The following is a 27301-nucleotide window of genomic DNA, read 5'->3' as shown; positions in this document are numbered from 1 at the left end:
GGCCTGCCACTAGTTTAAAACGAATTAGTTTCTGTGAAACATCAGGATCGTGCCAATAGTAGGGGACCAATAAGACTGAATAAGTCAAAGGGCTGCGCGGACAAGTCCAATTAGAACACCTCTGGCTAAAAGCCAGAATGAATGAAAGGGTTCATGCCTCGGCGTAGACACACAACTGGGACTGAAAAATCTGCCCCAAGCCTCCACGTCGACTTTGGCTCCACCTGCAGCGGCGGCGCCGTAGTCACGTGACCCGGGCCCCCGCGCCCTAGGCGCCTGGGCCAGCCTGCGCCTGCGCAGTACTCGGAGACAGCGGACCCGTGTCAGTGACAGCTTCCGGTTTGGTTTCTCCGCCTTCTGCTTGGCTAGAGCTATTGGGGCTCGGTGGCGGCCGCAGTGGGGTGGAGGGGGCAGGGCGTGGTGAGGTAAGGTGAGTGCCGTAGTGGGGTTCCCTGGAGCCATGGCCTGCTCCATTGTCCAGTTCTGCTACTTCCAGGACCTCCAGGCCGCCCGGGACTTCCTCTTTCCTCACCTGCGGGAGGAGATCCTCAGCGGCGCCTTGCGGAGGGACCCCAGTAAGTGCCTCTCTGGCCTCGCCCTTCCTTCCCTCGTCACCCGCGGCCTCTGCTCACGGGTTCGAGTCTCCTACTCGCTCTGCGCCTCCTGCCTCTGCCCTCTGGACCCCCAGTTCTCCCCGTGCCTCCCCTCCGCTCCGGGATGACACCCTGCCCACCTCGTCCTGAAGCCCCATTTGTGTTGTCTTCCTCTCGACCCAGCTTTTCTCCTTAGGCCCTCTGACCCCTGGCTAAAAACTGCGTCTTGTTTCCTCTCGCCTCTGCCTATCACCGCTTTCTCCCTCCCTCCCCCCACCCCCACACATTCCTAGCTTTCTCTCTGAGTATCTTCTCCGTCTCCCATCTTCAGCCTGGGGTCGTTCCCTGTTTCATGTTGCCTGCTCCGTGATCGCATCCTCCCCGTTCCTTGCCACATGTCAGCGCTCCACTCTGGTATTGCCCCAGCTCCCACTCTCTTCCATCCCGGAGACTGTGGCCTTCTGCTACCTCCCATTCCGAAAGTGTTGATCATCCCCCCACACTCTCCCTTCTTTCATCTGCATTTCCCCCATTCAGATTTTGAGAACAAATGGCTGACAAATGAGTGACTCTTGAGGTAAGACTCTCTCAAAGAAGGAAAATAACCTGTCAGGAAGTGAACGAGAATCTACATTAGGAACTAAAATTACAGTGACATAGCCAAGAAAGGTTAATTTGCTTTATTGAAGCCTTCCACCTATTTTTATCATCAAAGTGTTTAATAAGCCTTTCCCCAAGTAGTATAAAGTTCCAAGGCTGGTTTATTAGATACTATATAGGCTTTCAGAATTTCGTACATTTCATTTTGAAAGGGTGTGCCTTGTGTTTTATTTTATTTTATTTTATTTTATTTTATTTTTGCATTTCCAACCTGAAGCACATTTGGCTTTGTAGTACAGCGCTCTCACTTTGTGCTATACCGGAATGGTGATATAAAGCCCACTAAGCTCCTCTCCCTTTTTTAGAAAATTTAGAAGATATCAAATCGAACCCATCTGTGAATGATTGCATACTTTGTGCCAGTCATTGGTGCTACAAACCAAATAAGGTTGGTGGACCCTGCTGTAGGAACTTCTGGTTTACAGACAAATCATTAACTTCCATTCAGTGTGACTGAGATATACATGAGGCATTTTCTTGAAGTGGTGATACTTAAGCCTACCTTTGAAGTACTAGTTAGAGGAGTAAAGGAGCAGTAATAGCATGTGCAGAGGAAGGGAGGCCTGAAATGGCATGGTATTTAGAGAACTAAGAAAAGCTGAATGGCTGGAGAGGAGGATGGGAGAGGAAGAGTTGGGGCAATGAGGCAGTAGTAGTAATAAGGAGCTAGACCATGAGAGGCCTTGTGAAAATTGTGGCGTTTCTCTGAAAGTTTAAGTAGAGAAATGACATTGTCAGATTTGTACTTAATGTAATCAACAACATTTGTTGAAGACCTGTAATGTGCTCTGGTAGCAAAGTGGAGGAGAGATTGGAAGAAGGGAAATGGATTGGGAAGCTCTTCCAGTAATCCAAGCAAGAAATTATGTGAGCTTGAATTAAGAACCTTAGTAGGATGAAGATGAAGGACTAGATTAGAAAGACGTTAAGGAGTTAGAATCTGCAGGACCTTGTGAAGGTCTGGTGATGGGCATTGTAACTAGTAAGTGAGGGGGAGTTTAGGAAGTCTTTGGCTTGTGGTTTGGGCAACTATATGTAATAAGAGAATGAAGGATACAGATTTTCAACCTTTTGCATTTTAAATGTTTATGGTATGTCCAAGTAAGGACATCTGGTTGAACACCAGATATAGATAGTCTAAACAGTAGGGAGTACTGGGCCAGAGATGTTAATTGGGGAGCTAACAGCAAAAAGTGTCAGTTCAGTCTCAAGGATTATGTATGTTGTGAAATGCACTGAGTACTAAAGCTGTAAGCTTAGAGGAGCACTGGTGTTTAAAAGTCAAGTAGAGGTTACTGGGAAGAAGACTGAGAAGGAGTAAAAGAAAGAGGAAAATCATGTGAGAGTAAGGCCCTCGGAGCTGAGGAAGGCGAGAACTTGATGAGGGTGAGGAATGGTCAGCAGTTTTGCAAATGCAGCAGGGGTCAGGTAAGAAAAGGATAGAAAAATGCTTATTGGTTTTGAGAAGGTGGAGGTAACTTGGACCTTAGGACAGTTTCAGTAGGATAGTGGAGGCAGAAAGCATAGTTATAGGATAAGGGGTTAAAAAGTGAAATATACTATTTCAAGGAGCTTGGCTGTGAAGGATAGCAGATGCAGGATTGTAGATAGGGAATGTAGAAAAAAGGAACAGATTTTCTTTATCCTTCTACCACTCTCCTGGTCCAGGCCACCATCTTTTCTCAACCTGGGCTATGATATGATATGTGTCTTCTTCTAGCAATTCTTCCTGCTTTTGCTCTTGGTTTCCTGTAATAATTCTCAACAGTAGTTACAGTGAGCTTTTAAGGCATAATTTAGATCACAACATTGCCTTTTTTTTTGAGATGAAGTCTCACTCTGTTGCCCAAGCTGGAGTGCAGTGGCATGATCTCAGCTTACTACAACCTCCACCTCCTGGGTTCAAGTAATTCTTCTGCCTCAGCCTCCTGAGTAGCTGGGACTACAGGCATGCGCCACCATGCCCGGCTAATGTTTGTATTTTTAGTAGAGATGGGGTTTCACTATGTTGGCCAGGCTGGTCTTGAACTCCTGACCTTGCGATCCACCTGCCTTGGCCTCCCAAAGTGCTGGGATTACAGTCATGAGCCACCACACCCAGCCTAACATTGCCCTTTTAATAACACTCAATGGTTTTTGATTGCACTTAACGTAAAATCCAAAGTTCTTAAATGGTGTATAAGGCCCTTGAGACTCTGCTTCCTGCCATTTCTTGGACCTTATACACCTCTCCCCTTATTTCTTATGCTTCAGACGCTCTTTTTTGTTGTTAAACCAGCCAACCACATTTGTGGCTAAGGTTTTTGCCCTCACTGTTGTCTATGCCTTGGATGCTTTTTGCAGATCTTTGCATGCTAGTTGCATCTTGTCATTCAAGTCTCAGCTCAAATGTCAACTCAGGGCAGCCTTTTCTGACCACCTGATCTAGATCTAAAGTAGTCAATACAACCCCCTTGTTCCTACTTGTTGTTCTCAATCATATCATCCTGTTTATTTTCATCATTATATTTCTACTGTCCAGTATGGTAACCTCTAGGCACATGTGGTTATTGAGCCTGTGAAATGTGGCCAGTGCAACTGAGGAACTGAATTTTTAAAATTCAAGTTAATTTTAATTAATTTAAATTTAAGTAGCCAAAGTGGCTAATGCCTATAATATAGTATGGCACAGTTATAGGTGCTAAAACTCAGGTACATACAGATTGAATACTTGTCCAAGTTACATAGGCAGTTGGGGATATAAATACACCCCAAACATCTAGATTAATTTGCACTATACCTATAGATTTATAAATATGGTTTAATGTATTTCTCTTCTAAATCAAATTCTTGAGTTTATGTATGTTGATATTATTGTGGCTATGATCAGTTCATGTAGAAAATGAACAGAATGGACCTCTTCACCAGTGAGCCCCTTTGTAAAACCTGTACAGATGATCTCAGACTTATGATGGTTTGGCTTCCAATTTTTTAGCTTTACAGTAATGTGAAAGCAATGTGTACTTTGTAGAAACCATACTTCAAATTTTGCACTTTGATCTTTTCCAGAGCTAGTGATACAATGGGTAAGATACTCTTTTGTGATGGTGGGTAGCAGCAGCAAATATGAGAGACTGTACTCTACGGTATTCAAGAAGTACTGTATTCAAGAAATTACATGAGATATTTTCAACCCTTCATGATAAAATAGACTTTGTGTTAGAAGATTTTGCCCAACTATAGGCTAATGTAAGTGTTCTGAGCACTTTTAAGATAGTCTAGGCCAAGCCGTAATATAAAGAGTTTTGAACGTAAACTTTTGTACAGTGAAATTTTACAGAGAAAAAATGACATTAGCAGAGCAGGTAAATAGGACCTGACTTAAACTGCTGATGGTATTTGCCTTTGCTTTTCTTCACTTTATTTATTAATGTTATAAATGTTTATTGGGAAGCAGAAATCATGAGATCATCTTAAATTTTTTTAGCTGATATAGTTGTAATTTCTTAACCTAGCTCATCTCTAGAGGATATGTAAAAACATAAAACACCTCAATTACTTGTGAATTATAGAGGTGTATCAGTTGGTTTAAAAGTGCTTTTATTGGGCTGAGCTCTTGGAAGACTCAGGTCCTTGGGTCATAGGCATCACGGACCAATCTGAAGAAAACTGCATTTCAGGGCCTGTTGAGGCTAAAACTCCAGTTGGAGGTCCAGAACATGTTCTCGTGACTCAGCAATTTCCTTGTCAGAATCCATTACCTGCAAATAGTGGCCAGGCTCAGTGGGTCTTGTGTCCTTCAAATTCTTCGCAGCGTGTTCCTTTGCAAGCACAAAAGCTTGTCTCCAGTCACAAGCCAGTTCAGAATCAGAAGCAGAAGCAATTGCAGGCAACCAGTGTACCTCATCCTGCCTCCAGGCCACTGAATAACACCCAAAACAGCAAGCAGTCCCCGCTGTCGGCACCTGAAAATAATCCTGAGGAGGAACTGGCATCAAAACAGAAAAATGAAGAATCAAAAAGAGGCAATGGGCTTTGGAAGACCTTGAAATTGGTCGCCCTCCGGGTAAAGGAAAGTTTGGTAATGTTTATTTGGCAAGAGAAAAACAAAGCAAGTTTATTCTGGCTCTTAGGGTGTTATTTAAAGCTCAGCTGGAGAAAGCAGGAGTGGAGCATCAACTCAGAAGAGAAGTAGAAATACAGTCCCACCTCCAACATCCTAATATAATCAGACTGTATGGTTATTTCCATGATGCCACCAGAGTCTACCTAATTCTGGAATATACACCACTTGAAACAGTCAATACAGAACTTCAGAAACTTTCAAAGTTTGATGAGCAGAGAACTGCTACTTATATCACAGAATTGGCAAGTGCCCTGTCTTACTGTCATTCAAAAACAGTTATTCATAGAGACATTAAGCCAGAGAACTTACTTCTTGGATCAGCTGGAGAGCTTGAAATTGCAAATTTTGGGTGGTCAGAACATGCTCCATCTTCCAGGAGGACCACTCTCTGTGGCACCCTGGACTACCTGCCCCCCGAAATGATTGAAGGTCGGATGCATGATGAGAAGGTGGATCTCTGGAGCCTTGGAGTTCTTTGCTGTGAATTTTTAGTTGGGAAGCCTCCTTTTGAGGCAAATACATACCAAGAGACCTACAAAAGAATATCACGGGTTGAGAATTCACATTCCCTGACTTTGTAACAGAGGGAGCCAGGGACCTCATTTCAAGACTGTTGAAGCATGTTCCCAGCCAGAGGCCAATGCTCAGAGAAGTACTTGAATACCCCTGGATCACAGCAAATTCATCAAAACCATCAAATTGCCAAAACAAAGAATCAACTAGCAAGTATTCTTAGGAATCGTGCAGGGGGAGAAATCCTTGAGCCAGGGCTGCTGTATAACCTCTCAGGAACATGCTACCAAAATTTATTTTACCATTGACTGCTGCCCTCAATCTAGAACACTAAAAGAAATATTTGTTTTACTGAGCAGGTGTGCCTTAACCTCCCTACTCAGAAAGCTCCACATCAATAAACATGACACTCTGAAGTGAAAGTAGCCACGAGAATTGTGCTACTTATACTGGTTCATAATCTGGAGGCAAGGTTCGACTGCAGCCACCCCATCAGTCTGTGCCAGGCATGGTGTCCTCCCAGGAGGCAAATCCAGAGTCTGGCTATGGGGAAAGTGACCACTTTGTGCTGACTCGATCGGTTAAGGAGCTGTCCAATAACCTTCCAAGTACCTGAGTGAGTGTGTAACTTATTGGGTTGGCCAAGCCTGGTAAAGCTGTTGGACTGAGTACGTGATTCTTTTTAAGTAGGAAAATAAAGATATTTGTACAGAAAAAAAAGTACTTTTATTTTACTGTGGACAGCTGCTAGAGATATAGTGATACCACTCTCTTCTATATTTGAATTATCAAAGTATGACTTTATGTTACTTTGTATATTTAATTACAAAAGAAGACTGTCCTCTGTAGCTTTAAAAGATGCTGAACCCTACCCTTTCCCAATGTTTACATTAATGACAACTGTTAAATTTTGTTTTTATAAAGTAAATACTATCTACTTAAGACATGAAGTCTGGTCTTACTGCTTTGTGGCTTTTTTGTTTGTTTTGTTTTTGTTTTTTAGAGACAGGGCCTCACTCTGTCACCCAGGCCAGAGTGCAGTGGCATGATCATAGCTCACTGCAGCCTTAAACTCCTGGATTCAAGGGATCCTCCCACCTCAGTCTCCTGTGTTGCTAGGACTACAAGTATGCAGCACCATGCCCAGATAATTTTTTTGGTTTTTGTTGAGATAGGGTCTTGCTGTGTTGCCCAAGCAGGTCTTGAACTCCTGGGCTTAAGTGATCCTCCCACCTGGACTCTCAAAGTGCTAGAATTATAGGCATGAGCCACTCTCCCTGGTTTATTACTTTGAAGTTGCAGGGATGGGTGGAGTATAGGTCCCCACTTTATGGGTCCCCATTTAACCTATAGTGACATAATTTCCAATGCCTAGACCAGAACTTTCTGAAATTTACAGTTGGGTTGGGCAAAAATATAAATAAATATATAAATAAATAAATACATGAATAGAGAGGGAGAGCCAGAATAGTTGGAGATAATTTGGGTATTATAATATTGTGGATTTCTTGATTTACCTAATAGTAAAATAATTTCTTATTGACATACTAAAAATGTGGAATAGTTTTCCTTCTTGCCTCTTTTACCAACCAGAATATAAAGCATGTAGGGAATTATGTTGAAATAATCAATTCATGTTTTTAAGCAATCTCTGAGAAAAATGTGCTTTATTTAGGATAACCTAAAATCATAGAATCACTTTGCATAATGGGCTATCACAAATGATATAAAATACTCTATTTTTTATATGTAGTAAAATATTTTCTCTAGTTTGAGATCATACTAGGAGAGAAAATAATCTGAAAATAGAACATTTATAGAGATTTCAGAAAATATATAGAGTTACTGGGTTTCTTTAAAATTGGAAGAGGATCATACAGATAAAATTTTACCAGTGAGGAAATTGAGATTTGAGTGTTCTTCAGTTTCTTCATTCAGGTAGTATTTATTGAGCATCTACTATGTTCTAAGCACAAAATGAGTTTAAAGATAAATAAAATAAGTCCCTCAAGCAATTTTCAGCTAATAAAAGAAGACACGTATGTGAAACGATTGTTAGAGGTGTTATGCTATGATATGGCACATGATGGGAGAGAATGAAGGAGTGTTGGTCTAGTCTATGCAGGAAACCCAGAAAGTCTTCATATAGGAGGTGATATTTACACATTAATAGTTTAAAGATGTCCATCAGATGGAGAGAAAATAGACAACAGATGTGAAACAGTATGGGATTCAGAAAGCTGCAAATAGTAAATTGTGGTGGGAGGGTGGGATGTGTTCAGAGGTGAAATTGAAGAGGTTGGTGAAGGAGTTTAGATTTTATTCAGTAGCAGGGTCTTTAGATTGAAGTAAGAGTACCTTGGGATCATGGAAATTTATAAAAGGTTGCTTGGGAACAGATGATTTTAAGTAAATCATTTTCCACATGTACCTGTGAAAGTGCCTACTTTCTCACCCTGCCTTCTCCCACTTTATCTCTGACACGTTTGTAGTCTTATTATAGTAAGTTGCTTCAAGGTGTAAAAAAAACCTCCCCTTTAATCAAAGTGTTGTAAATTCCTCCATTCGTTTTATTATTAGTTTTCCAAATTTTACTTTTTGTTTAATTATCAAGATTTATGATATATTTATGTTGTTTTCCTCACTTATTTACATAAAATAATTGTAATAACTCAAGCAAGAAGAAAAATGTTAATACTTAAGAGTCTTATCACAGGAAAATGTTTTCTTAATTCATATCCTTTTTTGCAGAGAGAGTTTTGTACTGATAATAATAAAAATCTGTGTTTATTAGAATAGCATTCTGTGGAGGAAGTAGAATAGAAATAAGTATTCAAGGAGAATAAAGGACTTGTAAAAACTGTTGAGAAGGTCAGCATTTTTTTTTAATGGATGTCGGTGGGTATCATTTCCCTATAGTGTTTAGAATCCACTAAGTTTTAAAAAGTAATAATAGTTTTATGTTTAAATGTACATGTTTATAGTATAACAGAAATTACATATTTTTTGCAAGAGATACATACTAAAAAATTCTTTTGGGGCATATATGAACAAAAAATTTGAAGGTCATTCTCCTGTAAGACTCAGTGATTCCCAGTCTTGTCTTTTCTTTTTTTTGTTGGCATAATAGCGTACATAAGAAAAATGAGATATGGACCCCAAACAGCTAAAACAATTTTGGAAAAGAAGAAACAAGTTAGAAGATTCACACTTTCTGATTTCAAAGCATATTGCAAAGCTGTAATAACCCAAACTGTATGATACTGGCATAAAGACAAACAAACCAATGGAATGGAATAGATAGCTGATAAGTAAACCCTCACATACATGGTCAAGATGATCTTCAGCAAGTGTGCCAAGAGCATTCTTTGGGGGAAAAGACAGCTTCTTGAATATATGATGTTAGAGGAAATGGCTATCCATATGCAAAAGAATGAAATTGAATCCTTATCTTATACCATATACAAAAATTAAATAGATTAAAGACCTAAATGCAGCACCTAACACTGTAAAACTTTAGAATAAAACATAGGAGAAAAGCTTCATGACATTGGACTTGCATGCTTTTGGATATGACACCAAAAGCATAGGCAGCAGAAGCAAAAGTGGACAAATGGGGCTACACTAAGCTTAAAAACTTTGTGCATCAAAGGACACAATCAACAGTGTGAAAAGGCAGTTTTCAAAATGGGAGAAAATATTTGCAAATCATGTATCTGATATGGGATTAATATCCAGAATATATAAAGAATTCCTGCAACTCAATAACAACAACAAAAAATCAACCCTATTTAAAATGAGCAAAGGACTTAAGTAGACATTTCTTCAAGGATGATATACAGATGACCAAAAAGAACATGAAAAGATGCTTAACATCACTAATCATCAGAGTGATGCAAACCAAAGCATAATGAAATGTTACACCTATTAGAAATGGCTACTATAAAAAAAAAAAAGTATCAGGATATGGTGAGGATGTGGAGAATTATAAACTTTTGTGCATTGTTGGTGGGATGATAAGATGGTACAGCCATTAAGGAAAAAATAAGAGTTCCTCAAAAAATTTTAAAAAAATTATATGATCCAGCAATATCACTTCAAGGTGTATATACAGCAGAATTGAAAGCAGGGTCTTGAAGAGATGTTTGCACACCCATGTTCATAGACAGTTCACAGTAGCCAAGAGGTGGAAACAACCCAAATGCCCATCGATGGATGAATGGATAAACAAAATGTGGTATTATACACACAATGGAATACTGTTTAGCCATTAAAATCAAAGAAATGTCACATGCTATAACATGAATGAACCTTGTTAAATTATGCTAAGTGAAATATTCCAGTCACAAAAAGACAACTACTATATGATTCCACTTACATGAGGAAGCTAAAGTAGTCATTTATAGAAACAAAAAATAGAATGGCGGTTACCAGAGGCTGAGGAAAGGGAGAACGGGAATTGTTTAATGATACAGAGTTTCAGATTTGCAAGATGAAGTTCTGGAGATCTTTTTTTTTCACAACAGTGTGAGTACACTTAACACTACTGAACTGTCCACTTAGAAATGGTTAAGTTGATAAATTTTATGTTTTTTTGTTTGTTTGTTTGTTTGTTTGTTTTTTCTTGAGACAGAGTCTTGCTCTGTCGCCCAGGCTGGAGTGCAGTGGTGCCATCTTGGCTTACTGCAAGCTCCACCTCCCGGGTTCACACCATTCTCCTCCCTCAGCCTCTCGAGTAGCTGGGACTACAGGTGCCTGCCACCATGCCTGGCTAATTTTTTTTTTTTTTTTTTGTATTTTTAGTAGAGATGGGGTTTCACTGTGTTAGCCAGGATGGTCTCGATCTCCTGACCTCGTGATCTGCCCGCCTTGGCCTCCCAAAGTGCTGGGATTACAGGTGTGAGCCACCGCGCCTGGCCTGTGTGTTTTTTTTAACCAAAATACAAAATGTCAATCAATTAGATTAATAATAAATAGATTATTTAAAAACGCGACAAAGCTGCTTATGATGGAAAGTGACATAAGTTCCAGTAGTTCCAGGCCCTACCTGACTGCTTTTACTGCTAAAAGGATCAATATCTTGGCTCACCTGCAACCCATTTACAGCATACTAAGAATCTCTGCTATGGGCAGAGGGTAGCCATTGATGGTTTTAAGTAAAAGTGTAGCAAAAATATTTTAAGATTTGAGTTCTAAACAGATATATTTGGTAGCTGTAAAGAGAATAGATTGGGCAGTTCAAAGCTAGAGGCAGGTGACCATTAGATAGATAGTTGTAGAAGTCCAAGTTAGAGCCCATAAAGGCAGAACTAAGGTGATAGCAATGGCAGTGGAGTTTGAGACTATTAGAATTTGAGCTGAGAAATAGGATAGCCAGACAAATATTTTAGAGACATTTCTTTGTCAGCAAAGAGAAGAATGGATGGGAGTGATGGGTAAAGTGGAAGTGGAGTGACCAGTTAGGAGGCTATTGCAGTATTCCAAAAGAGGAGATTATCTTTTCCTTAGCATGGTTTTCATAAGAGGTTATTTTATAGTATACACAGTGACAGTCCTGGAAGTATGACAAGTATTTTTGAATGAGTACTATGCTTAATACAATTTGGGACTATTGAGACCTTGAATGAAGAGTAAGTTGTTGAACCTTCCTCATAGAGAAGAATTCTTGAAACTCCTAGGTATCTGCTGTGACCATATCTTGCCTTTAAAAAAGAGACCAGAAATGGTCCCTTGAACATAGATTACTTTTCTTTGTACAATGTGAGTCTAAATCTCACATTTAAGTTCCCCAGAAGAGAGAATCTCATCAGGTCAAGAGAGTAGACATTACTTACCACATTGCCCCCCCTTTTTTTTAAAGTATGTAAAATCAGACATAAAAACCACCACCTGGCTACTCATACTCTACCTTTCAGACGTTAAAACCTCAGTACTGTGCTGTCTAACATGGTAGCCACTAGCTACATATGGCTATTTACATTTAAGTTTAAATCAATAGTAATTAAATTTTAAAAAATTCAGTTCCTCAGTCACAGTGGCTACATTTGAAGTGTTCAAGCCATATGTTGCTAGTGGCTACCATATTGAGCAGCACAGATACAGAATACTTCCATGATTACAGAAAGTTCTATTGGAAGTATTGCCTTAGTAAGACTTTTTTCTTCTTCTTCTTCAACTTTTAAGTTCAGGGATGCATGTGTAGGATGTGCAGGTTTGTTATATATGTAAATGTGTGCCATGGTGGTTTGCTGCACAGATCACCCCATCACCCAGGTATTAAGCCCAGCATCCATTAGCTATTCTTCCTGATGTTCTCCCTCCCCCCACCACCCCAACAGGCCCCAGTGTGTTTTGTCCTCCCCTATGTGTCCATGTGTTCTCATCATTCAGCTCCCACTTATAAGTCAGAACATGTGGTGTCTGTTTTTCTGTTCCCGCATTAGTTTGCTGAGAATAATGGCCTCCAACTCCATCCATGTCCCTGCAAAGGACGTAATCTTGTTTCTTTTTATGGCTGCATAGTATTCCATGGTGTATATATACCACATTTTTCCTTATCCAGTCTATCATTGATGGGCATTTACGTTGATTTTGTGTCTTTACTATTGTATTGTGAATAGTGCTGCAGTGAACATATGTGGGCATGTATCTTTATAAAAGAATTATTTATATTCCTTTGGGTATATACCCAGTAATGGGATTGCTGGGCCAAAAGGTATTTCTGCCTCTACGTCTTTGAGGAATCACCACACTGTCTTCCACAGTGGTTGAACTAATTTACACTCCCACCAACAGTGTAAAAGCATTCCTTTTTCTCTGCAACCTTGTCAGAATCTGTTGTTTTTTGACCTTTTAACAATAGTCATTCTGACTGGCATAAGATGGTATCTCATTGTGGTTTTGATTTGCATTTCTGTAATGATTAGTGATATTGAGCTTTTTTTCAATATGTTTTTTGGCTGCATGTATGTCTTCTTTTGAGAAGTGTCTGTTCATATCCTTTGCCCAGTTTATAATGTGGTTGCTTGTTTTTTCTTGTAAATTTGTTTAAGTTCCTTGTAGACTCTGGATAATTAGACTTTTGTCAGATGGATAGATTGCAAAAATTTTCTCCTGTAGATTATCAGTTCACTCTGACAATAGTTTCTTTTGCTGTGCAGAAGCTCTTTTGTTTAATTAGATCACATTTGTCAATTTTTGCTTTTGTTGCAATTGCTTTTGGCATTTTCATCATGAAATCTTTGCCCATGCCTATGTCCTGAATGGTATTGCTAGATTTTCTTCTAGGGTTTTTATAGTTTTGGGTTTTACCTTTAAGTCTTTAATCCATCTTGGGTTAAATTTTGTATATGTTGTAAGGAAGGGGTCCAGTTTCGATGATCTGCATATGGCTAGGCAGTAGTCCCATTTATTAAATTTATTAAATTTATTAAATAAGGAGTCCTTCCCCCATTACTTGTTTTTGTCAAATTTGTCAAAGATCACATGATTGTAGGTAAGGGCCTTATTTCTGAGTTCTCTGTTCTGTTCCATTGGTGTATGTGTCTGTTCTTCTACCAGTACCATACTGTTTTGGTTACTATAGCTTGCAGTATAGTTTGAAATAAGGTAGTGTGATGCCTCCAGCTATGTTCTTTTTGCTTAGAATTGTCTTGGCTATTTGGGCTCTTATTTGGTTCCATATGAATTTTAAAATAATTTTTTTTTCTAATTCTGTGAAGAATGTCAGTGGTAGTTTAATGGGAATAGCATTGAATCCATAAATTACTTTGGGCAGTATGACCATTTTCACAATATTGATTCTTCCTATCCATGAGCATGGAATGTTTTTCCATTTATTTGTGTCCTCTCTGATTTTGAGCAATGGTTTGTAGTTCTCCTTGAAGAGGTCCTTCACTTCCTTTGTTAGCTGTGTTCCTAGATATTTTATTCTTTTTGTAGCAGTCATGAATGGGAGTTCATTCATAATTTGGCTGCCTTTCTGTCGTAGTGTATAGGAATGCTTGTGATTTTTTGCACATTGATTTTGTATCCTGAGACTTTGCTGAAGTTGCTTATCAGCTTAAGAAGTCTTTGGGCTGAGATGATGGGGTTTTCTAGATATAGGATCATATCCTCTGCAAACAGAGACAATTTGACTCCTCTCTTCCTGTTTGAGAACCCTCTATTTCTTTCTCTTGCCTGATTGCCCTAGCCAGAACTTCCAATACTATGTTGAATAAGAGTGGTGAGAGAGGGCATCCTTGTCTTGTGCTGGTTTTCAAGGGAAATGCTTCCAGCTTTTGCCCATTCAGTATGATATTGGCTGTGGGTTTGTCATACAAGGCTCTTACTATTTTGAGGTATGTTCCTTTAATACCTAGTTTATTGAGAGTTTTTAACATGAAGGGATGTTGAATTTTATCAAAGGCCTTTTCTGCATCTATTGAGGTATTCATGTGGTTTTTTGTCTTTAGTTCTGTTTATGTGATAAATCACATTTATTGATTTGAATATGTTGAACCAACCTTGCATCCTGGGGATGAAGCCACCTTGATTGTGGTAGATAAGCATTTTGAGGTGATGCTGGATTCAATTTGCCAATATTTTATTGAGAATTTTTACACTGATGTTCATCAGGAATATTGGCCTGAAGTTTTTTTCTTTTGTTGTATCTCTGCCGGGTTTTGGTATCAAGATGATGCTGGTCTCATAGAATGAGGGAGGAGTCCCTCCTTTTCAATTTTTTGGAATAGTTTCAGTAGAAATGGTACCAGCTCTTCTTTGTACCTCTGGAAGAATTCCACTGTGAATCCATCTTGTCCTGGGCTTTCTTTTTGGTTGGTAGGGTATTTATTACAATTTCAGAATTCATTACTGGTCTGTTCAGAGATTCAGTTTCTTCCTGGTTGAGTCTTGGGAAGATGTATGTGTCTAGGAATTTATCCATTTTTTATAGATTTTCTACCTTATTTCTCTGTGTTTATAAACACAGAGGTGTTTATAGTATTCTCTGAGGGTTGTTTGTATTTCTGTGGGGTCAGTGGTGATATTCCCCTTATCATTTCATATTGTGTTTATTTGATTCTTCTTTCTTTTCTTCTTTATTAGTCTAGCTAGAGTTCTATCTATTTTATTAATTTTTTTAAAAAACCAGCTCCTGAATGCATTGATTTTTTTTGAAGGGCTTTTTGTGCCTCTATCTCCTTCAGTTCAGCTCTGATCTTGGTTATTTCTTGTCTTCTGCAAGCTTTGGGGTTTATTTACTCTTGGTTCTCTAGTTCTTTTTACTTGAGATGTTAGGTTGTTAAGTCGAGATCCTTCTAGCTTTTTGATGTGAGCATTTAGTGCTGTAAGTTTCCCTCTTAACACTGTTTTAGCTGCATCTCAGAGATTCTGGTACAGTGTCTCTTTGTTCTCATTAGATTCAAAGATCTTTTTGATGTCTGCTTTAATTTCATTGTTTACCCAAAAGTCATTCAGGAGCAGGTTGTTCAATTTGCTTCTGGTTGTGTGGTTTTGAGTGAATTTCTTTCTTTCTTTTTGTTTTTTTTTGTTTTGTTTTTTTTTGAGATGGAGTCTTGCTCTGTCACCCAGGCTGAAGTGCAGTGGCATGATCTTCACTCACTGCAACCTCCGCCTCCCAGGTTCAAGTGAGTCTCCTGCCTCAGCCTCCCAAGTAGCTGGGACTACAGGCACGTGCCACCACGCCCGGCTAATTTTTTGTATTTTTAGTAGAGACATGGTTTCACCATGTTAGCCAGGATGGTCTTGATCTCCTGACCTCGTGATCCGCCCACCTCAGCCTCCCAAAATGCTGGGATTACAGGCATGAGCCACGACGCCCAGCCTTTTGAGTGAATTTCTTAATCTTGAATTCTAATTCGATTGTTCTGTGGTCTGAGAGACTGTTATTTCAGTTCTTTTGCATTTGCTGAGGAGTGTTTTACTTCTGATTATGTGATCAATTTTAGAGTAAGTGTCATGTGGTGGTGAGAAAAATGCATATGCAGTTGAATTTGGGTGGAGATTTCTGTAGATATCTATCAAGTCCACTTGTTTTAGAGCTGAGTTCAGGTCCTGAATATCTTTGTTAATTTTCTGTCTCCATGATCTAATGTTGTCAGTTGGTGTTAAAATCTCCCACTATTATTGTGTGGGAGTCTAAGTCTCTTTGTAGGTCTCTAAGCACTTGCTTTGTGAATCTCACTGCTCCTGTATTGGGTGCATATATATTTAAGATAGTTAACTCTTCTTTTTGAATTGAACCCTTTACCATTATGTAATGCCCTTCTTTGTCTTTTTAAATCTTTGTTGGCATAAAGTCTGTTTTGTAAGTCTGTTTTGTCAGAAACTAGGATTGCAACCCCTGCTTTTATTCTGTTTTCCATTTGCTTGGTAAATTTTCCTCCATCCTTTTATTTTGAGCCTATGTGTCTTTGCATGTGAGGTGGGTCCTTGAAGGTTTTGCGTCTTTATCCAGCTTGACATTCTATGTCTTTTAATTGGGGCATTTAGCCCATTTACATTTAAGGTTAGTATTGTTATGTGTGGATTTGATCCTGTCATCATGATGCTAGCTGGTTATTTTGCAGACTTGTTTATATGGTTGCTTCATAGTATTACTGGTCTGTGTACTTCACTGTGTTTTCGTAGTTGTTGGTAATGGTTTTTTATTTTCATATTTAGTGCTTCCGTCAGGAGCTCTTGCAAGGCAGGCCTGGTGGTAACAAATTTCTTCAGCATTTGCCTATCGGAAAAGGATCTTATTTCTCCTTCATCTATGAAGCTTAGCTTAGCCAGGTATGAAATTCTGGCCTGGAAATTCTTTTCTTTAAGAATGTTGAACATTGACCCCCAGTTGAGAGATTTGCTGTTAGTCTAATGGGTTTCCTTTTGTAGGTGACCTGGCCTTTCTCTCTGGCTGTCCTTAACATTTTTTCTTTCATTTTGACCTTGGAGAATCTGATGATTATGTGTCTTGGGGTTGATCTTCTTGAGGAGTATCTTCCTGAGGCTCTTTGCATTTCCTGAGTTTGAATGTTGGCCTGTCTTGCTAGATTGGGGAAGTTCTCCTGGATGATATCCTGAACTGTTTTCCAACTTGGTTCTGTTCTCTCCATCTCTTTCAGGTACCCCAATCAGTCATAGATTTGGTCTCTTTATGTGATCTCATATTTTCCAGAGGTTTTGTTCATTCCTTTTCATTTTCTTTCCCTCTATTCTTGTCTGACTGTCTTATTTCAGAAAGATAGTCTTCAAGGTCTGAGATTCTTTCCTCCACTTGGTCTGTTCTGCTATTGATACTTGTGATTGTATTGTGATCTTCTCATGTTGTATTTTTCAGCTCCATCAGGTCAGTTACCTTCCTCTCTAAACTGGCTGTTGTGGCTATCAGCTCCTGTATTGTTTGATCATGATTCTTAGCTTCTTTGCATTGGGTTACAACATGCTCCTTTAGCTCACCAAAGTTTGTTGTTATCCACCTTCTGAAGCCGACTTCTGTCAATTCAGCCATCTCCACCTCAGCCTGGTTCTGTGCCCTTGCTGGAGGGGTGTTGCAGTCATTTAGAGAAGAGGAACTCTGACTTTTTGAGTTTTCAGTGCTTTTGTATTGATTCTTTCTCATCTTTGGGGGCTATCTATCTTCAGTCTTTGAGGTTGCTGACCTCTGAATGAGGTTTTTGTGGGGTCTTTTTTGTTCATGTTGTTGTTGTTGTTTTCTGGTTTTCTTTTTTTTTTCTTTGAAATTTAAAGAAAAAATTTATTGAAGATCTGAAAAACAATTCCTAAAAGATTGACTTTTCCAGAAAACTAGCTACACAGTGCATTGCATCTATCATGTTAAAACGTGCATTAGACACAAATACAAAAACCATGAAACAAGCCACCATTCTTCAACAATTTGAGCCAAGATAAAATGCCTAAGTAACAACATGGATGCCTTGCAAAGGATGGGCTCTTTACTTTAAGCACCATAAAAAAAAAAAAAAAAGCACAAATGGATGAGTGTGTTCAGTTATATACACTGAATTGAACCTTTGGCACTAGGAATCAGAGCATTTTGTCATATAGCATTAACATGTATTATAAAAGTGCATAGTGTCAAAGGAATAGAACCACCAGCATTCAAAAGCAGCTTTGTCAACTAGGCAATAAAACACTCTACAGCATATCCCTCTGTTGTCCATCATTGAAAACACTGGCAGCAACTTTGAAATGAAAAAAAAAAAGAAAAGAAAAAAGGAGCTATTACCCCTTTTATTTTCTCTGTTTAAAATCAAACAGAAAACAAACATCAATTGTTATACACTAACATCTTCAAAGCACATTGTTTGTACAAGAGATAGACTAAGAACAAAAATGTGTTTACGGAGATCCAAACATAAGTGAGTGAGAGTGCCTCTCACACAGCTTTCCGATGGTACTCAGGAGGAGCCACTTCATAATCGCTGGCACTAAACAAAGTTGCAGAATTCTTTGCCAGGTACTTTAGGAAATCGTGAAGATAATTGAGTAATAAAGCAAGGCTCTTCTCATCCAGAGGTGTATAGGCCAACATTGCTCCAATTCGTACAAATAATCTCAGGAGATGTGGCGCTCCATACACCTGGGACATGGGTGCATCGGGATGATCTGCAAGAATTTCGGCATACTGTGGTCTCTCAAATTTATAGAGTAGCTGGGTACCCAACATTACGTTGAAGTATTCTTTTATCCCTGCCACAACTTCATTAACCGCATACTCCTTATTATCTGTGTTTCCACGAGATTTCTTGTAATTTGCATAATCCTCAAGAATGGAATCCACATTCTTCTTGGCAGGAAGATAAAAGAGCTGTTTTTGCCTGGTAATTAAGTCCCAGTCATCAACAAGCCACGGTTTTAGCTATTCAGGAATCTTTACTTTAACTTCAACTCTGTTCATGAATGTTTCCTCATTTTCAACAGTAGGATCTACCCGGGCCCTTTTCTTCCAAGGAGGCTGAGGGGTCTCACTGGTACTGCCACCATCTCCATTTCCAGGTGTTTTCTGTTTGTTCTTTTTCGTTTTCACTTCAACATTTTTCTGTTGCAGACCAGATGTCTTCTTTCCTGGGGCAGCCCCTCTCATCTTCCCCTCTGCATACTGCTCCTGATTGGCTTTTTGAAGTTCTCGCTGTTTCTGCAAATTGGTGTCCACGTATTTGAGTACTCTGCTCTCCGGAACCCACTCATCCCAATTTTTATTCCAACCACTGTAATGTATGAAGTATTTCACTTGTTTGTCCTTTATGGCAACCTTTACACACTTTGCTTCATAAAGAAGAGGCCCATGAAAGCACAGCACTCGCTCACCCTCCTGGAATTTAGGCTTCGGGTCCTGCTTCCGCGCCATTTATAAGTGATTTGCCGCCTCCTCCTTCTCCCACCACCCCCGACTACCGCCCCCTACTCTCTACCCCACCCAACTCCGCGTCAGACGCGCCGTCAGGCACTGCCAGCTCTACATCCTGGGTTCTGGTTTTCTTTTAACAGTCTGGCCACTCTACCATAGGGTTGCTGCAGTTTACTGGGGATCTGCTCCAGACCCCAGTTGCCTCAGTTTCTCCTGTACCTGGAGGTATCACCAGTGAAGGCCACAAAACAGCAAAGATGGCAGCCAGCCCCTTCCTCTGGAAGCTGCATTCTGGTGGAGTACTGACCTGTTGCTGGCCCACATGTACCTGTAGGAGGTGGCTGGAGACCCCTGTTGGGAGGTCCCACCCAGTGAGGAGGAATGGTATCAGGGTCCCACCCCAAGAAGCAGTCTGGTCACAATCTGACAAGGCAGCTGTTCTTCATTGTTGGGGAACCTTCCTCGTAAACTGTCTATTCTCCACAGCCAGCAGGCTGGAGTGCCTGAGTCTACCGAACCACAAAGATGGTAGCCACCCCTCCGCCCCTGGGAACTTGGACCCATCTCAGGGAGATTCCAATCTGCCACCATTGGCTGGCTGGGATTCCAAGCCAGTGGGTCTTAACTTGTGAGGTGCCGTGGAAGTGGGGCCCACAAAACAATGCTGCTTGGCTCCCTGGAATCAGCCCCCTTCTTAGGGATATATACAGACAGATTTCCTGCCTTGCCAGCGATCCCAGCTGTAGTATGTAAAACTCATGGTTCTCTGTGTGTGCCTGAGTGGCTGCTCTGCCGAGACTCTACACAGCTCTGTGTATCAGACCCAAGGCCCTGGTGGTGTGGGCTCATGAGGAGATCTCCTGATCCATGGAAAGATCTATGCAAAGATCCATGGGAGAAGTGTGGTTTCCCAGGTAGGGTAGCACAATTACTCACTGCTTCTCTTGGCGGGAGGTGACGGTTTCTTTGGCTCCGTGCCCCTTCCAGGTGGGCCGTCGCCCCCTCCACTCCCTCGTACTTTTCTTCGTTCTCTTTGGGTCAAGCTGTTTGTCCAGTCAGTCCCAGTGCAAGAACCTGGGTATCTCAGTTGAAGGTTCTGAATTCACTTGCCCCTTTTCATTTCTCTCCATAAGCTCCACAGACCACAGCTGCTTCTAATCGTCCATTTCAGGTCTGAGACTTCTTTCAGACTTTCTGTGCTCAGTCAACACACACATACACACAAGCTAATTGGGAATTTTATTTATTTGTAATTTTATATTGTGATCTCATTTTTATAAAATGCATATCTGCAACCTTTGTAGTTTAATTATATATTATATAATATCTATATCTTTCCAAGTCATTTATAGTTTTCAGGTATATATAGCTCTAGCTTGTTTTTTTTCTTCATTTTCTCTTTTTTTTTTTTTTTTTTCTTTTTTTGAGAGAGGGTCTCAGCCTATCACCTAGGCTGTGCCATCATGGCTCACTGCTGCCTCCACCATCTGGGCTCAATTGATCCTGCTGCTGCCTTAGCCTCCCCAAATAACTGGGACTACAGACATGTGCCACCATGTCCAGCTACTTTTTCTATTTCTTTGTAGAGATGGGGATCTCACTATGTTGCCTAGGCTGGTCTCGAATTTGTGGGCTCAAGCAATCCCACCACCTCGGCTTTCCGTGCTGGGATTACAGGCATGAGCCACCGCACCCAGTCTATAGCATGTTCTTAATGGTTACATAATATTACACTGAAGACTCCACTAGGCTCTATTTAATAATTGCCTGATCAGTGAACATTTTTAAGGTTATTTCTGATATTTTTGCTGTAAGAACAGTGCTCCACTAAGCATCCTTATACATGTGGGTCACAATTGCCAAATTACTCTAAAAATTGGTTTTCAGGTTCAGTCCTATCTATGATAATCAGTGCCTATCTACACATACACTTATTATCATAATATGATCAGTGTCTTTGACTTTTGTTCTTCTGATAAATGAAAAATGGTATATCATGGCTTTAATTCATACCTCTTAAAATTGAGAAAAGTTGAGCATTTTCAATGTGTATCAGTCAAGTAGAGCTTGCTTTGTAAATTAACTATTCACAATTTTTGCTGACTTTTTAATTGTATCTTTAAACTTTTTCTATTGTTTTACAAAAGTTTATCATATCCTGTGTTTATATTTTGCAAATATTTATATAATCATATCTCTTAACCTTTGCCTTTTTAGCTTCTGTTTCATATTCTCCTTTGAAAGATCTTTCCAATCTTAAGCTTGTAAAACATTCTACTAGATTTTAATCTAAATCTAAATATCTTAATCTAAATATCACATTTGTGTGCATGTGTGTAAGTGTGAAATCTAAGGTGGAAACCTATCCTTATTTTATTGCAAATGGATATGCAATTGTTTTAACACAATTTATTAACTAATTCATCAACTTCCTACTAATTCGAGATGCTGTTTTTACCATGTTAACTAGTCAGAAATACTTGCCTCCTTTTATGGCTTTTCTTCTGTTTCACTGACTTATTTGTCAATTTCTGTCCATTTTAATGCTTAGTAGAGACAGTTTCTGCCAAAGTACTTGTATTACTCCATTCTCACACTGCTGTAAGGAAATAACCTGAGACTGGTAATTTATTAAAAAAAGAGGTTTAATTGACTCACTCTTCAGCATGCCTGAGGAGGCCTCAGGAAACACAGTGGTGGAGGAAGGGGAAGCAAACACATTCTTCTTCACATAGTGGCAAGAAGGAGAATGAGTGAGAGCAAAGTTGGGGGAGAGCCCCTTATAAAACCATCAGTTCTTGTGAGAACTCACTATCATGAGAACAGCATGAGAACAGCACTATCACTATCATGAACCACCCCCATGATTCAATTACCTACCACCAGGTCCCTCCCACAACACATGGGGATTATCTGAAGTACAATTCAAGATGAGATTTCGGTGGGGACATGGCCAAACCATATCATTTTACCTGTCTCCTCCCAAATCTCATGTCCTCACATTTCAAAATACAATCATGTCCTTCCAACAGTCCCCCAGAGTCTTAACTTATTTTAGCATTAACTCAAATGTTCAAGTCCAAAGTATCATCTCAGACAAGGCAAGTCCCTTCCACCTATGAGCCTGTAGAATCAAAAGCAAGTTAGTTACTTCCTATATACAATGTGAGTACAGGCATGGGGTAAATACACCTTTTCCAAATGGGAGAAATTGACCAAAACAAAGGGGCTACAGGCCCCCTGTAAGTCCAAAACTCAATGGGGGCAGTCATTAAACCTTAAAGTTCCAAAATGATCTCTTTTGACTCCATGTCTCACGTCCATGTCACACTCATGCAAGAGGTGAGCTCCCAGAGCCTTGAGCAGCTCCCCCCCTGTGGCTTTGCAGGGTACAGCCTTCCTCCAGGCCTCCTTCATGGCTGATGTTGAGTGTCTGTGGCTTTTCCCGGTGCATGGTGCAAGCTGTCGGTGGATGTACTATTCTGGGTTCAGGAGAACAATGGCCCTCTTCTCACAGCTCCACAGTGCCCTAGTGGGGACTCTGTGTGGGGGCTTGTACCCCACATTTCCCTTCCACACTGCCCTAGCAAAGGTTCTCCATTAGGGTTCTGCCCCTGCAGCAAACTTCTGCTTGGACATCCAGGCATCTCCATACATCCTCAGAAATCTAGGCAGAGGTTCCTCAACCTCAGTTCTTGATTTCTATGCACCCACAGGCCCAACATCACATGTAAGCCACCAAGGCTTGGGGCTTGCACCCTCTGAAGCAATGGCCTAAGCTATATGTTGACCCCTTTTAGCCATGGCTGGGACACAGAGCATCAAGTCCCAAGACTGCACAAAGCTGCAAGGCCCTGGGCCCACAAAACCATTATTTCCTCCTAGGCCTCCGGGCCTGTGATGGGAGAGGCTGCCATGAAGATCTCTGACATGCACTGGTGACATTTTCCCCATTGTCTTGGTGATTAACATTTGGATCCTCATTACTTATGCAAATTTCTGCAGCCTGCTTGAATTTCTCCTCAGGAATGGGTTTTTCTTTTCTATTGTATTGTCGGGCTACAAATTTTTCAAACTTTTATGCTCTGCTTCCCTTTTAAACACAAGTTCCCATTCCAAACTATCTTTCTCAAGTTTAAAATTCCACCAACCTCTAGGGCAGGGGCAAAATGCTGCCAGTCTTTTTGCTAAAGTATAACAAGAGTGACCTTTTCTCCAGTTCCCAAGAAGTTTGTCATCTCCTTCCGAGAACACCTCAGCTTGGACTTCATTGTCCTTATCACTGTCACCATTTTGGTAAAAGCCATTCAACAAGTCTTTAGGGAGTTCCAAACTTTCCCACCTCTTCCTGTCTTCTGAGCCCCCAAGTCTCTAGAAAGTTCCAAACTTTCCGACATTTTCCTGTCTTCTTCTGAGCCCTCTAAACTGTTCTAACCTCTGCCTGTTAACCAGTTCCAAAGTTGCTTCCACATTTTCAGGTATCCTTATGGCAGCACCCCACTTCCAGTACCAATTTACTGTATTAGTTTGTTCTCATGCTGCCATCAGGACATACCTGAGACTGGATAATTTATAAAGGAAAGAAGTTTAACTGACTCAGTTGAGCCTGGCTGGGGAGGCCTCAGGAAATTACAGTCATGGCAGAAGGGGAAGCAAACATGTCCTTCTTCACATGGTGGCAGGAAGGAGAATGAGTGAGAGCAAAGTGGGGGAAAGCCCTTTACAAAACCATCAGATCTCGTGAGAACTCACTATGATGAGAACCTCCCCCATGATTCAATTACCTCCCACTGGGTCTCTCCCATGGCACATGGGGATTATGGGAACTACGATTCAAGATGAGATTTGGGTGGGGACACAAGCCATATCACTACTTTTCTTTCAAAAAAAGTCTTAGGGTTATTCTTATACATTTTTCTTCCCATTGAACTTTAGAATTATCCAAAAAAAAAAAACCAAACCAAATTTATACTGGGATTTTAATGAGAATTGTTTTAAGTTTATATATTAATTTGGGAACGATTGACATTTTCCCAAACTCTAGGTCTATTTCCCCAACCCCTACCCCTACCCCTAGCTTTATTGAAGTATAATCAACAAATAAAAATGGTACATATTTAAGGTGTGCAACATGATGATTTGATATACGTTATGAAATGATTGTTACAATCACCTTACATAGTTAATTTTTTTTTCTTTTGGTTGGGAGAACACTTAAGATCTACTCCCTTAGCTAATTTCAAGTACACAGTACAGTATTATCAGCCATATTTACCATGCTGTACATTAGGTCCTCATAACTTCATCTTGTAACTGAAAACTTTTACCCTTTGACTGACATCTTATTTCTACTCTCTGCTTCTAGTAGTTTGACTTTTTTAGATTCCACTTATAAGTGAGATCATACAGTATTTATCTAGATAGTTTTATTCATTTTTTTTGCATCTTTTAGCAAAGTTTTTTGCTTCTCATATAAATCTTACACTTCAATATATATCTGAGTGTCTAGTTACTTTATTAAATTTATGGTTGTGACCTGGATCTCATAATATTTTTATTTAAAATTTATTATTTTATTGGTTTTTGTTTACATTTACTTCTCTTTATCAAGTCTAATTTTTCAAAGTTTCTAATTAATTTCTATTTTCATCTTTATTCATTTTTTTCATTTGTCTAAGATCTGTAGAAAAGTAATACTAAAAAAATTTCCAAGTGGTTCTTTTTAAAATTTTTTCATTTAGTTATCTTTTTATTGCTGATTGCTGTTTTGCTCTATTGTTATTGGGGAGTATAGTCTGTATGTTTTCTGCTTCTTAAAATTTCAACAGTTTGGGGGTACAGGTGAATTTTTTGTTACACAGATGAGTTCTTTAGTGGTGAATTCTGAGATTTTTAGTGCACCCATCACCTGAGCAGTGTACACTGTACCCAATATGTAGTCTTTTATCCTTCATCTCCCTCCCAACCTCCCCTCATCGAGTCCTCAGAGTTCATTATATCACTCTGTATGTCTTTTTGTCCTTAGCTTCCACTTACAAGGGAGGACATACGGTTTTTGCTTTTCCATTCCTGAGTTACTTCACTTAGAAAACTGGCCTCCAGCTCCATCCAAGGTGCTGCAAAAGACATTATTTCATTCCTTAATATAGCTGAGTGATATTCTGTGGTGTATATATACCACATTTTCTTTATACACTTGTTGGTTGATGGGCACTTAGGTTGGTTCCATATCTTTGTAGTTGTGAATTGTGCTGCTATAAACGTGTGTGCATGTGTCTTTTTCATAAAATGACTTCTTTTCCTTTGGGAGATACCCAGTAGTGGGACTGCTGGATCACCTGGTAGATCTACTTTTAGTTCTTTGAGGACTCTTCATACAGTTTTCCATAGAGGTTGTACTAATTTACATTCCCACCAGCAGTGTAAGAGTGTCCCTTTTTCAACACATCCATGCCAACATCTATTGTTTTTTGACTTTTTAATCATGATCATTCTTGCAGTAGTGAGGTGGTATTTTTTTGTGGTTTTAATTTGCATTTCCCTCATTATTAGTGATGTTGAGCAATTTTTATGTATTTGTTGGCTGTTTGTATATCTTCTTTAGAGAAATATCTGTTCATGTGCTTTGCCCACTTTTTTTTTCTTCTTTTTATTTATTTATTTTTTATTATACATGTGCACATCGTGCAGGTTAGTTACATATGTATACATGTGCCATGCTGGTGCGCTGCACCCACTAACTCGTCATCTAGCATTAGGTATATCTCCCAATGCTATCCCTCCCCCCTCCCCCCACCCCACGACAGTCCTCAGAGTGTGATATTCCCCTTCCTGTGTCCATGTGATCTCATTGTTCAATTCCCACCTATGAGTGAGAATATGCGGTGTTTGGTTTTTTGTTCTTGCGATAGTTTACTGAGAATGATGATTTCCAATTTCATCCATGTCCCTACAAAGGACATGAACTCATCATTTTTTATGGCTGCATAGTATTCCATGGTGTATATGTGCCACATTTTCTTAATCCAGTCTATCATTGTTGGACATTTGGGTTGGTTCCAAGTCTTTGCTATTGTGAATAATGCCACAATAAACATACGTGTGCATGTGTCTTTATAGCAGCATGATTTATAGTCCTTTGGGTATATACCCAGTAATGGGATGGCTGGGTCAAATGGTATTTCTAGTTCTAGATCCCTGAGGAATCGCCACACTGACTTCCACAATGGTTGAACTAGTTTACAGTCCCACCAACAGTGTAAAAGTGTCCTATTTCTCCACATCCTCTCCAGCACCTGTTGTTTCCTGACTTTTTAATGATTGCCGTTCTAACTGCAATGGTATCTCATTGTGGTTTTGATTTGCATTTCTCTGACGGCCAGTGATGATGAGCATTTTTTCATGTGTTTTTTGGCTGCATAGATGTCTTCTTTTGAGAAGTGTCTGTTCATGTCCTTCGCCCACTTTTTGATGGGGTTGTTTGTTTTTTTCTTGTAAATTTGTTTGAGTTCACTGTAGATTCTGGATATTAGCCCTTTGTCAGATGGGTAGGTTGCGAAAATTTTCGGTGTGGATGTCCTTTCTGTTTGTTAGTTTTCCTTCTAAGAGACAGGACCCTCAGCTGCAGGTCTGTTGGAATACCCTGCCGTGTGAGGTGTCAGTCTGCCCCCGCTGGGGGGTGCCTCCCAGTTAGGCTGCTCGGGGGTCAGGGGCCAGGGACCCACTTGAAGAGGCAGTCTGCCTGTTCTCAGATCTCCAGCTGCTTGCTGGGAGAACCACTGCTCTCTTCAAAGCTGTCAGACAGGGACATTTAAGTCTGCAGAGGTTACTGCTGTCTTTTTGTTTGTCTGTGCCCTGCCCCCAGAGGTGGAGCCTACAGAGGCAGGCAGGCCTCCTTGAGCTGTGGTGGGCTCCACCCAGTTGGGGCTTCCCGGCTGCTTTGTTTACCTAAGCAAGCCTGGGCAATGGCGGGCGCCCCTCCCCCAGCCTCGCTGCCTCCTTGCAGTTTGATCTCAGACTGCTGTGCTAGCAATCAGCGAGATTCCATGGGCGTAGGACCCTCCGAGCCAGGTG

The 27301-nt window shown here is 40.2% G+C and overlaps 1 protein-coding gene and 2 pseudogenes across 2 annotated transcripts in view, besides 3 other annotated features; 2 read left to right on the top strand and 1 right to left on the bottom strand.

Moving 5' to 3' along the window:
• Nucleotides 345-27301, top strand: part of RAB3GAP2 (RAB3 GTPase activating non-catalytic protein subunit 2) — a 124161-nt gene continuing 97204 nt past the window's right edge. Inside the window, exon 1 of the mRNA NM_012414.4 lies at nucleotides 345-575. Within this exon, the coding sequence (NP_036546.2) occupies nucleotides 461-575 (115 nt within the window). The 5' untranslated portion in view covers nucleotides 345-460. The remainder of the gene's footprint in view (nucleotides 576-27301) is intronic.
• Nucleotides 1750-2251: an enhancer, noted in NCBI's record as "H3K4me1 hESC enhancer chr1:220443889-220444390 (GRCh37/hg19 assembly coordinates)". NCBI's record gives its function as "activates a minimal SCP1, AML or CMV promoter by ChIP-STARR-seq in naive H9 embryonic stem cells {active_cell/tissue: H9 hESC(naive)}" and the evidence as "EXISTENCE:reporter gene assay evidence [ECO:0000049][PMID:30033119]".
• Nucleotides 4333-5532: an enhancer, noted in NCBI's record as "MED14-independent group 3 enhancer chr1:220440608-220441807 (GRCh37/hg19 assembly coordinates)". NCBI's record gives its function as "activates an origin of replication core promoter dependent on BRD2, BRD4, P300/CBP and CDK7 cofactors, and independent of MED14, by STARR-seq in HCT116 cells {active_cell/tissue: HCT116}" and the evidence as "EXISTENCE:reporter gene assay evidence [ECO:0000049][PMID:35650434]".
• Nucleotides 5083-6619, top strand: AURKAP1 (aurora kinase A pseudogene 1; annotated as a pseudogene). Its single transcript, NR_001587.1, has one exon. The product of NR_001587.1 is annotated as an aurora kinase A pseudogene 1 (transcript).
• On the bottom strand, nucleotides 18057-19163 carry MORF4L1P1 (mortality factor 4 like 1 pseudogene 1; annotated as a pseudogene).
• Nucleotides 23025-23225: a silencer, noted in NCBI's record as "peak706 fragment used in MPRA reporter construct". NCBI's record gives its function as "represses an SCP1 promoter by STARR-seq MPRAs in K562 erythroleukemia cells {active_cell/tissue: K562}" and the evidence as "EXISTENCE:reporter gene assay evidence [ECO:0000049][PMID:32103011]".

The sequence above is a fragment of the Homo sapiens genome, chromosome 1, assembly GCF_000001405.40.
Source record: "Homo sapiens chromosome 1, GRCh38.p14 Primary Assembly".
NCBI lineage: Eukaryota > Metazoa > Chordata > Mammalia > Primates > Hominidae > Homo > Homo sapiens.
The sequence above is the reverse complement of the archived record's forward strand: the minus strand, read 5'-3'. Positions and strand labels throughout refer to the sequence as shown.